We start from the raw sequence: 12093 nt of genomic DNA, 5'->3' as shown, positions 1-12093 counted from the left end.
GTCAATGATAGACTGGATTAAGAAAATGTGGCATGTATACACCATGGAATACTACACAGCCATAAAAAAGGATGAGTTAATGTCCTTTGCAGGGACGTAGATGAAGCTGGAAACCATCGTTCTCAGCAAACTATCACAAGAACAGAAAACCAAACACCGCATGTTATCACTCAGAAGTGGGAGTTGAATAATGAGAACGTATGGACACAGGGAAGGGAGCATCACATACTGAGGCTTTCAGGGGATGGGGGGCTAGGTGAGGGATAGCATTAGGAGAAGTACCCAACGTAGATGACAGGTTGATGGGTGCAGCAAACCACTATGGCACATGTATACCTATGTAATAAACCTGTATGTTCTGTACATGTATCCCAGAACTTGAAGTATAATTACAAAAATGATACAATGTTAGGCATGATGAAGACCCTAGAAATAATTTCATTTAAGTGAATTTTAAAAAGTGAGAATGTTTGACTTGGAGAAGAGATACTTTTGAGAAAATGTGATAATTTTTTCAAAAAATTGATAAGATAGCTTTTGGTGATTCTGCCAGCTGCTGAGCATGTCTATTCCAATTGTGCATTCTGGAACTGGGGAAATAACCACAGGATAAGATCACTGTGAGATGTCCCTGTGCTAAAACTCCATTGATCACCTCATCTCCATAAATGCCTATTCTGATTGGAGGGCTGCAGTGACGTTTTGGGTCTCTTGGAATTAATGTTAATTCAGAGCCAGTGTCCAGCACTTCCTGAAATGTCTGCTCATTTCTTTTTCCCCAGTGCACATTTACCGTGGTAAAATGCCAGAGGTTGTTTTTAGGAAGGTTTGGGGAAAAATTAGTGGACACATTTTTGGCAATATGCTGGAGTCCTTCCTCAAGGAGACCTGGCCTCCCCTTCATTCAAGGATTTCTGTGTCTAGAGACTGGCTCAATCCTGAGAGTTGATTGAGGGAGCATGACTCTTCCTGTTTTTTATAATTCAAGTTAGGGTTTTGTTCACTTGACTTAGAATTTTTCTGCTTATACAGATCAAGTATGAAATTAGTAGGCTTCCTATCTACTTTATTTCTAAGAATGCTGTGATCAACTAGCCAATGTCACAGGTCTGTGTGGGTTAGACTATTTGGATTGCTTTGACTCAGCTCTCCATTAAGCGGCACTCACCTTTGGTAGTTGAATGCTGCCACTTGGCCCCTGCCACTTAGGGATCCTATTATTCCCATTGTATTTAGGTTTCCCAATCCAGTGATTGTAGTTCCCACTGTGACATCTGGCCTACAGAGAAGAGCTATGACAGAGCTCTTCAAGGATGCTAGAGCTCTCGTCACAAATTTATTTTTCATAATATTGGTGAAAGGCATGTCTTCTGGACCCTCCCAGTGTGGTTGCACAGGTCTTAATAGACAAATCCACTATGACATTTCAATCTCCCTAAGGTTTTGAATCCCTTACTCTACACTAAACCAAGGCAGGTATGGCATTTTAAATCTCTGGCACTGTGGGCCAATTTTTGGTCCATGTTTCAACCAACGAACCAACCAAACTGTTAGAGCTCTTTCTAACTCTCTGAGCTGAAACATTAAAGTCTGAATCTCTGCTTACTGAGCCCGTGTCAACAAATTCAGCCTGATCCAACTTTATGTCCTTTCATCCATTGGTCCACACCCTTAATATCCATTTTCACACATTTCCCAGATTTCTATCTGTATATTAGAAAACTTAAGTAGGCCTTTTGGAATGTAGCACCTTGCTTATGGGTCACATTTTCTACTTTTCCACTGGGGGCCTACAGGGACTTGAGTCTAGTTGTAGGCCTAGAGGCAAAGAGGAGTGGTAGGGGTGTTTCAGGAGGAGACTCAGCACTGTATTGCATTGCAACTGCCTCAGGGAGACCATTACAGTTTCCTCAGGTGATTCAGGATTAATCCTCTCAGAGTGTGGTGAACAGGATAATGGTGGAGTTCCAATCCAAATGCGGGCAGCCTGGAGACCCAGGAAGAGCTTATGTTGCAGTTTTAGTCAGAACACAGGGAAAAATGGATTGACTCAATGCTAGAGAAAAAAGTTAACGTGAGAATTTGAAAAGAGTCAAATTTCAGTCTAGTGTTTAACAAAACCTTTGGAGAGTTAGAGCTTCTCAAACACAAAATAGATTTTTTAAATACTTAGTAAATGCATTTACATAGAAATCCTTGGTAGGATGAAGACATATGCTTGGGCTTTTAAAGATGAGTGCCTGTGTTCAGCTAGTAATTATGTCTTTTATTTTTATCTCTTTTTCACAGACAGTCTCACTCTGTCACCCAGGCTGGACTGCCATGGTGTGATCATAGCTCACTGTTACCTCAAACACCTGGGCTCAAGCGGTCTTTCAGCTTCAAACTCCCCAAACATTTAGATTACAGGCCTGAGCCATCACTCCCAGCTTCATTATTTCTTTTAACAGATATTCATCCAGCTTTATGTACAAGATATATATCATAATGTAAACATTGTATTTTGCCCCATTATTGCTTCTCATAGGTTTGAAGACCACATCCTAGAGGATCTTACAGAAATTAAAATGTGATAAGTAAGTTAAGAGAGTCAGGAATAGAGGTGGGACTAGTAAGAATGCTGCACAGAAGATGAACTAGGTGATCTCTAAAATTCTTTCAAACTCTAAGAGGCTCTAGTTCTTAAAAATGGTATAAGAATGTAAACAAATTTGTTCTTTATAATGCCCATGGCTCATTCCTTAATCCTTTATAATAAGCCAACAGTTTAAGAAATACTTCCTTACTTTTGGCAACAAAACACTAATTTACTTATGAATAATAATAAACATATATTGTACTTATAAACTACCTAATTAATCATTTAAGTATAATTCTAGCACATCTTAGAGAATTCATGTATTTGCTTTTCTAGACATAAACTATTTATGATACTTTTTGTTTCTTTCAGGCTTAATAATTAAAAAAAAATTAACTGGAAAACCAGGCTTGGGATGTTACTGAACTTAATTTTTTTTTTTACAACATTGGGTAATTCTATTATGATCACATCACTGAAAAATTGAGAGGTAATATTCAGATGTTTCTTCATTAATCTGGGAGTTAGAGCTGGTTAGTTGAATAGCAGCCTACAAACTAAGATTAAAAATTGGATTCTGTGATACTGATGATTGGAAATGTTAAACTTCCAGTTTAGGATGATGGCCTAATAAAGAGCTGATTTGTCATTCTCAGCTCTGACTGGAACACTAACAATGACATAGAAAATAAAACCTCCATAAATAAGTGGAAAAATGCAAGTAAGAGTTTCTGCAAGAAAGAAAGGAAAGGGTAATTTGATACTCTTTAAAATTGATGAAGATGGCTTAAGAAACATGATAGAAAGTTCCATCCTCTGAGTCAAAACAATAAGATTTTCTGGAGAATAGCTGGGAGGTTTCTGTGACCATCTCCATGTCTTTACCTGAGGGATAAAGAACGGACTTCTCTCTGTGCTCACCACCCTCTGAGGGTACAGCTTGATGATGCAAATCCGGAAGCCGCTACTCACCAGATAGGGGCTCTGCAGGGACCTTGATCTTTGATTTCCTACATCCACAACTAAGATAAATACATGTTTGTTATTTGAGCCAAAGCAAGGAGGCCGGAAAAGAGGGAGAGAGACTGGAATAGTTGGTCGGTGAAGCAACCAGAACACAAAATTTACCAATTAAGTTCGCTGTCTTATATGAGTGTGTTTCCTGATGCCCCCAAACAATTACAATAGTGACCTCAAATAGTGGCTCCTTTTCACAAGTTGGCACAGAAGGTGAAGAAGGAAGCTCCTTCTCCTCCTAAACTCAAAGCCAAAGCAAAGTCTTTGAGGTCAAGAAGGTAGTACTGAAAGGCATCCGCCACTACACACACACACACACACACACACACACACACACACACACAACGATCTGCATGTCATTCACCTTCTGGCGGCCCAAGACACTGCAGCTCCAGAGATAGTCTTAAATATCCTTGGAAGAGCACCCTCAGGAGAAACAAGCTTCACTATGCCTATGCCATCATCATCTTCCATCTGATCACTGAGTCTGCCATGAAGAAGGTAGAGGACAACAACACACTTGTGTTCATTGTGGATGTTAAAGCCAACAAGCACCAGATCAAAGAGGCTACGAAGAATCTGTGAATTTATGTGGCCGAGGTCACACCCTGGTCAGGCCTGATGGAGAGAAGACAGAGATATTCCACTAACTCCTGACTGTGATGCTTCAGATGTTGCCAATAAAATTGGTATCATCTAAATTGAGCCCAGATGGATAATTCTAAATAGATATAATATATATTTTTCCATCAGAAAAAGAAATCACTGATCACGGATCACCATAACAAATATAATAATAAAGAAAAAGTTTGAAATATTGGGAGAATTATCAAACTGTGACACAGAGACACGAAGTGAGCACATGCTGTTGGAAAAATGATGCCGATAGACTCACTAGATGCAGGGTTGCCACAAGCCTTCAATTTGTAAAAAATACAACAAAGAAAAGGGCAATAAAGCAAAACTTGATTTTTTAAAGAAACAGTATAGGTAACAGGTAAAGGATTAAAATAGAAAACTCAAGAATTGGAAATTATGATATGAAAGGACTTGTGATCAGTTAAATTTTGAACTTGAAATATCGTTGAAGAATTAAATGCATATTCCAGAAATTTTTTAAAAGGAAGATTGTATTTTGAAAGGTAATAGTAATAAAAGTAATCTGGGTCTGTGTTTCCAAATAGAGTTAACAGAGAAAAAGGGTTGAGGTGGTAAAAGCACAGCAATACTTCATCTTATATATGGTGCAACAAGAGTAATGACTTCGTTTTTGACTTTATATTTAGAGAACGTAAACTGACATGTGTTTCTAAATGTAAACCGATGGTCAATTTTTTCCTATTTGAATAGTTATATCCTACTGACATGTACCAGATCATTGAGTTTTTAATTTTTGTTTTTAATTGTGTTATTGAGTTGCCCACTTTTTGGCTTTCCTCATGGTAAGATAGTCTTTCCTACAGCTATCATCTCCTTGTGGAACCACCTTTACACTGTGCTGGTTACTAAGAAAAAAATCGTGAGCATTGATAATCCAGTAACATACCACTCTATAACTCTTTACTATACATTTATTTTCAACAGTTTAGCCAGAAGGGTTGGTGTAATTAAAGAGTGTTACAGGGTCGGTAGGGGAAAATTAAATTTATATGCTAGAGGTGACTAATCCATGGGAAAACAAAAGGTAACACTCTCTATAGGAAGTTCCCATTGGTCTGCTCCAGTTTCTTCTATCAGCCACCTTTGCTTAGATCTGGGCTTAACTAACAAGAAGAAAATCTGAGATTGGATTTAAAAAATTTTGCAGGCATACAATGACTGCAAAATTATGAACAAAATTTAAAAATAAAATAATCAGGCGATTTGCATCAAGAAAATAGGGGTTGTAAGTTTAATTTCAGACAAAATGGAATTCATGGCAAAAACATTACATATATACAAAGAAATATTGTATAGTTGTGAACATATTCACAGGCAACAATCTAGTAAGTAAAGCAAAAACTGACAGAACTATAGAAAGAACTAAATAAACAACAAATATAGGTGGAGATTTTAATATGTTCCTCTCAGAATTTGATACTAAGAGCAGTAAGCAAGAAATTAATACAGATAACATGCTTTTGCTTATATATAAATTTATACCCAGCAAGGAGAGGGAGAAATATTCTTTCCAAGCACATGTGATATTTATAAAATTTTATAATAAACTAGGTCACAAAGAAAGGTTCAATAAATCCCCCAAATTAATTCCATGTGGAGTATACTGTCTCAAGGTCAATGCTATTAAATGATCTTTGCTTTAAAATAGAACTAAGAAAAAGAGTTATGAAATTCTTAGAATTGTGAGGCTAAAAATGTATAGCTAAAGCAGTTAAATACTTGTGATTGGTTCATTTTATATGTACTGTACTTTAGTAAGTGTTTTAAATTTACTAAAGTACTATACATATTCAGAAAGTTTATTAATTAATTTTTTAACGTTAATTTAAAAAAACAGAGTGATAATGTTTAAATAAAGTAAAATAAAATACCATTGTGGTTTTGGTTGGAACTACATTAAACTTTGCAAAGAACTTGGAAAGTATAAAAATCTTTAAAATTTAGCATTCTTATTTTGAAAATAAACTTAATCTTTTGAGAGAAACAGCTATTGCAAATCATAGTGCATAGAAGCTATCTTAGAATGGCATTCTTGATAATCATGTAAATTGATTATTTTTGGTTTTTATGATATTAGATCACTTATGTGTTATTTTGGTTGATACAATTGTTTAGGTAGATCATGGTACAGGTGAATTCAATGTTGTAGCTTTGATTGATTAATTCCAACTCTTATAAATTATAAAATGAATCAATATTAGTATTTCCTTTACCTATTTTTTTTAGTAAAATTGCTAATTGACTGCATACATTTACCTAAAAGCAAAACTTATATTTTCTGCATTTCTTACATGGTACATAATGATATTTTTATTATCAACCAGATAATGATTCATAAATTTATAGTTTGTTTATTTTACTACCATGCATGTCGAGGACTTTTTAAATTTCTTTTTGAAAAAATGTCTATGGTAGGCACAGCTATTTTATGAGGCTTATTTATTTCTTTGCATTGAGAATATCTTTTAAAAACTGAGATTAGAAATCTGAGTAATAATGCAATAACAATATCAGAAACAACTTGTGTTGCTTTTATAGACTAGGTAAGGAAATGAATAAATTGCTGATCTCTATTACTTTTTATTTTAAGACAGGTTCTCACTCTGTCACCCAGGCTGGAGCACAGTGGCCCGATCTCGGCTTACAGTAGTCTCAACCTCCCGATCTCAGGCCATCCTCCCACTTCAGCTTCCCAAGTAGCTGGGATTGCAGGTGCACACTACCATGCCCAGCTAATTTTTGTGTTTTTTGTAGAGACGGGTTTCACCATATTGCCTAGGCTGGTCTTGAACTCCAAAGCTCAAGCAATCCACTTGCCTTGGCCTCCCAAAGTGCTGAGATTACAAGTGTGAGCCACTGTATTTAGCCCTTATCTCTATGACTTTTGAGAGTGAATACTTTTTATAAATTTGGAAACATATTCAGTATATAATTTTAAAGGTAATAGTAAATTCTTATTAATCATATACTTTATGCATTATTTAAAAGATAATTAAACATTTATAGCTTGTTTCTTTAGTCAATTTGATTTGTAATTTCAGAAAACATAGATGCCTCAATTTCTAACTCTAAAGAAGAATGTAGTGTATATACTTACACATACATATTTTATATATATATATATATATATTTCCTAGCAGTGCTCCTCCTCCCTTCAGTATATTTTCTCATATTAAAAATCTTCACGATTTGTTCTTTACAAATATCCATTTAGACATACAATAACTAGATTGTGAAGAGCTGTCATTACTAAAAGAGATACTAGCTGATCCACAAGATAGGATAAATATAGTTAGTATAATTTTAATTATAAGCTTCTCTGATTTATTGTTATTTAAACCAGTTAAATAACATATATTTTCTTTATAAGATTTTATATATATATATTTTGAGATGGAGTTTTGCTCTTGTTGCCCAGGCTGGAGTGCAATGTCGTGATCTCAGCTCACTGCAACCTCTGCCTCCCGGATCCAAGTGATCCTCCTGCCTCAGCCTCCTGAGTAGCTGGAATTACAGGCATGAGCCACCATGCCTGGCTAATTTTATATTTTTAGTAGAGACGAGGTTTCTCCATGTTAGTCAGGCTGGTCTCTAACTCCTGACCTCAGGTGATCTGCCTGCCTCAGCCTCCCAAAGTGCTGATTATATTTTTATAATCAGCCCGGCCAAGATTATATTTCTATAAGATTAAATTATCTTTTAAAATTGCATTATGGGAATTTATAATGCTTATTGTTTCATTGTATTAATGACTGATGGAACAATATTCTATTTCTCTTAAATATTCCTCTTGTTTTTAACGAATAATTTCTAATAGGAAGTTAAGTTTGCATTAGTCTTTGGTTAGAATTCTCTGGTATTTATTATACTTAATTGATTTATGACAAGTATATGTAGTACCCTCCATCTTTTGTAGTAAGAGAGGTTCAAGAAAATCACCTTGAAATTACTGAGGTCACCCTTCCCCTATAGTCTGGGGAAAGGGATCATAAGATAAGTATTTTATATTTAGCTGCCAGTGCCTGGCTCAGTCCTCATGGAAGAGATTGCTATCCTGGGACCCTGGGGTTGAAATCACCACAACCAGTCTGAATGCAGTGCTGCTCTGGGTTGGCTGCCTGTACTAGGAGAGGGTTGCATAGGTGAAATGAGAGTTTAGCACTAAGAACAGCACCCTTAAAGCATCCCCAGGGACCACGATGCTCTGCATAGGAATAGATAGAATTTTATGAAAAAAGTCAGAGAGGAAAGGAATATCACTAGCATTAGGCTCATCCTCCTCCCAGACCACCAAATCTCTCTCACTGCTCACTAGAAATGACTTGAAAATATCATTTTGGTGAAATTTTCTCTTTTTTATTATTTATTTCAGTGGTCACTAAATTTCCTAGAAAGTGAAATTTCCATAGCAGATGCTTAAAAACCAGACTTGTTTATTGTGTCAAGTGAATTTTTAAGGTCAGTTAATTTCATCAATTAACCAGTCATAAATTTGTTTTGAAAAAAATAAGTATGTTCTTTTATTATGTTTTATTCTAAAAAACTTAAATTGGAATTTTGATGGTATCTATTAAAAGATGATTTACTACTGATTCAGGGATATTTCCCATAGTATCTTTAGGCAAGCAAAGCATGTTTTGATTAGAAAAGGAGTTAAGACATGGTTTCAAAGCGTTGGCCCAAACATCTATATTCCAGTCAACCAGAAGATGTCACTATTGTGTACAGAATGTGTAAAAGAAAAAAGTATACTGTAGTTACATTGTGTGTCTCCTAATCTTGCTAAATTTTCTCTGGAGTCTCATGAAGGAAGCACTGTCTTCAAGTTGACAGGCACTGAAAAACTACTACATTCATTGGATGGGTGTGCCAGTTACATTCCCACATTATTCATTTGAAAAAAAAATAATAAAACTACATTGGCAGAAAATATTCCAACTCAATAATTTTGTACAGTGCTAACTGGAAATTAATAACCATGCAATATATCTGTTTTGGTTCTAGCAACAGAGTGTGTCTATTATAAGTAAATTTAGCAGACATTAATTAAGAAAAATCAAACTGTTTCACAAATGACTTTGATTAAACTAATTGTTCACTTAAAGCAGAGAAAATAAACTGCCAAAATATACACTTTAACCTAAGATTAATGGATGTCACTAATAGAATGCCTTCTTAACACTTTCATCTGTTAAATCAGAGTTCTTTTTATAATGAGAGTGCTGTTGACACCTCTGTACTTGTTATGAGACATTTTGTAAGAGAAGTTTACTGCAATCTTTGCAAAATCCTTTATAGGCAAGGAAACAAGATTGGTGGGAAGCTTGTTTGTAGGTATAGAACTTTCCCAGATGTATTTACTTAAGAAGCAAACAGTGAAGACACGCAGATGTAAATTAGATCCCAGGTGCCATTAGCATGGTAATGTGGGCCAAACAGCTGGGCTTAATTCAGGTCACTGACTGGTTTGACCGGTAGGATGTCAAAGGCAAGGCAATTAGGCCGAATCAGGAATGTTTCCCAGTGAGTTAGTATGTATGTATGTATGTATGTATTTATTTATTTGGAGACAGAGTTTCACTCTTGTTGCCCAGGCTAGAGTGCAATGGTGTGACCTCGGCTCACTGCAACCTCTGCCTCCCAGGTTCAAGCGATTCTCCTGCCTCAGCCTCCTGTGTAGCTGGGATTACAGGCGCCGGCCACCAACATGGCTGGGTTTTTTTTTTTTTTTTTGAGACAGAGTTTTGCTTTTGTTCCCCAGAGTGGAGTGCAATGGCATGATCTCGGCTCAAGGCAACCTCTGCCTTCCTGGTTCAAGCAATTCTCCTGCTTCAGCCTACCAAGTAGCTGGGATTACAGGCATGTGCCACCATGCCCAGCTGATTTTGTATTTTTAGTAGAGACAGGGTTTCTCCATGTTGGTCAGGCTGGTCTTGAACCCCCAACCTCAGGTGATCCACCTGCCTTGACCTCCCAAAGTGCTGGGATTACAGGCGTGAGCCTCCATACCCGGCCTAATTTTTGTATTTTTAATAGAAATGGAGTTTTACCACATTGGCCAGACTGCCCTCGAACTCCTGACCTCAGGTAATCTGCCTGCCTCAGCCTCCCAAAGTGCTGGGATTACAGGTGTGAGCGACCGTTGACTGGCCTAGTACTTATTTTTTTTTCATGAACTGTTTTGTTATTTTGCCCTTCTCCTCATTTAGGTTCATTTTGACATCTACCTTTTGTCCATGTATTGATTCATTGAGAGAAAATGATAGGTTTTTAAATTTTTAAAAAGTACTCCCTTTTCTGGCTTAGTTAGTAAAAGCAATCAACTATTTTTTTTTAAATAGGGATATTAAAACTTAAAAGGCAATTGCAATTTACATTTAGCTAATGCTTATCAAGTGTTGCTTAATATGTACCAGGTACTATGCCAAGTGATTTACATGGAGTACCTCCTCCTAACATATCTATGAGGCAGGTTCTGTTATTATTCCTATCTTACATATGAGGAAATTGAAACACAGATAGGGTTAGTAAATTATCCAGCATTACTGTGCTAAAGAGAGGCAGAGCTGGCATTCAAACCCGGAAAGTCTGACATCAGAGACACATTTAACCCAACTATTCCATATTGCTTCTCTGAAATATATAAAATACATTTGGTTGTGGTTACGTCTCTATTGTAAAATTTGTTTCCATTTTCTGCTGAGAGTTAAGAGCAAGTGGAAAGAGGTTTTCACAGTCCTTCCTTACCTACCAATACGGACTGAATGAATTGATACTATTAAATCTTGGTATTGATTTTATTTTTTCCATTCATCTTGCATATTTTTATTTGTCTTGAATATTTAGAAGAAGCAGGGAACTTTGAATCTTTCTTTGGTATATAATTTCTTATTCTTAGAAAAAGAAGAAAATTGTTAGTGAAGAATTATTAGAACGTAGAGGTCTTTGAGTTGTGATGTCATTTAAGAAGAAAAGAAATTTGATTTCTTGTCTTTTCTAGATTTGTGAGCAATAGAATCCATTTGAAAGGCTTGGATTAGAGTGAATATTTTGGCTGCAGAAATTTACAAAGTGTATTGACCTATATATGCTTACAGTATATTACTTGGGACCTAATGTAACAAGTAGATACTTGATCAGTTTAAAGATGAACTTTAAACAATGAATTCTAACATGTATTTCTACAAAGAATTTTTACTGTAAAACAAAATAGAAACAACTTAAGGTAAATATCCATGTTATTATTTTTATGGCTTATTGATTCCAACAACAACTTGAGAGTCTATTTAGATTACTTAATTGAGATTAGAGGTGATGAATTACTTATTACTCCAATGCAGTAGTTTTTTTAGTGACAATCAGAGATTTTCAGATGATAAGACTATTAGGCAGTCCACTTGAGCCACTTGCTGTAGTGATGTATAACATACATGTATGGCAGGAAAAAACCAAGTCAGAATACCTTATTTCTTAGGAAATTTATACATTAAAAGATGAGTGCCATTTTGAATAAGTAGATTGTTAAACAAATATTTATTGGTCACCTTTGTATCAAGTAAAATAACTTAGTGATGGATACATGATAGGACAAGTCCTCATCTTATAAACTGTGTTTATTTCTTTTTTTTATTATACTTTAAGTTTTACGGTACATGTGCACAATGTGCAGATTAGTTACATATGTATACATGTGCCATGTTGGTGTGCTGCACCCATTAACTCATCATTTAACATTAGGTATATCTCCTAATGCTATCCCTCGCGCCACCCCACAACAGTCCCCAGTGTGTGATGTTCCCCTTCCTGTGTCCATGTGTCCTCATTGTTCAATTCCCACC

General features: G+C 35.9%; 1 pseudogene, besides 1 other annotated feature; it reads left to right on the top strand.

Moving 5' to 3' along the window:
* RPL23AP35 (ribosomal protein L23a pseudogene 35) lies at nt 3922-4347 on the top strand (annotated as a pseudogene).
* Nucleotides 9370-10026: an enhancer, noted in NCBI's record as "OCT4-NANOG-H3K27ac hESC enhancer chr2:187120413-187121069 (GRCh37/hg19 assembly coordinates)". NCBI's record gives its function as "activates a minimal SCP1, AML or CMV promoter by ChIP-STARR-seq in primed H9 embryonic stem cells {active_cell/tissue: H9 hESC(primed)}" and the evidence as "EXISTENCE:reporter gene assay evidence [ECO:0000049][PMID:30033119]".

This window comes from Homo sapiens, chromosome 2, assembly GCF_000001405.40.
Source record: "Homo sapiens chromosome 2, GRCh38.p14 Primary Assembly".
NCBI classification, from domain to species: Eukaryota; Metazoa; Chordata; class Mammalia; order Primates; family Hominidae; genus Homo; species Homo sapiens.
Note: the sequence above shows the minus strand (reverse complement) of the source record. Positions and strands in the feature narration are given on the sequence as shown.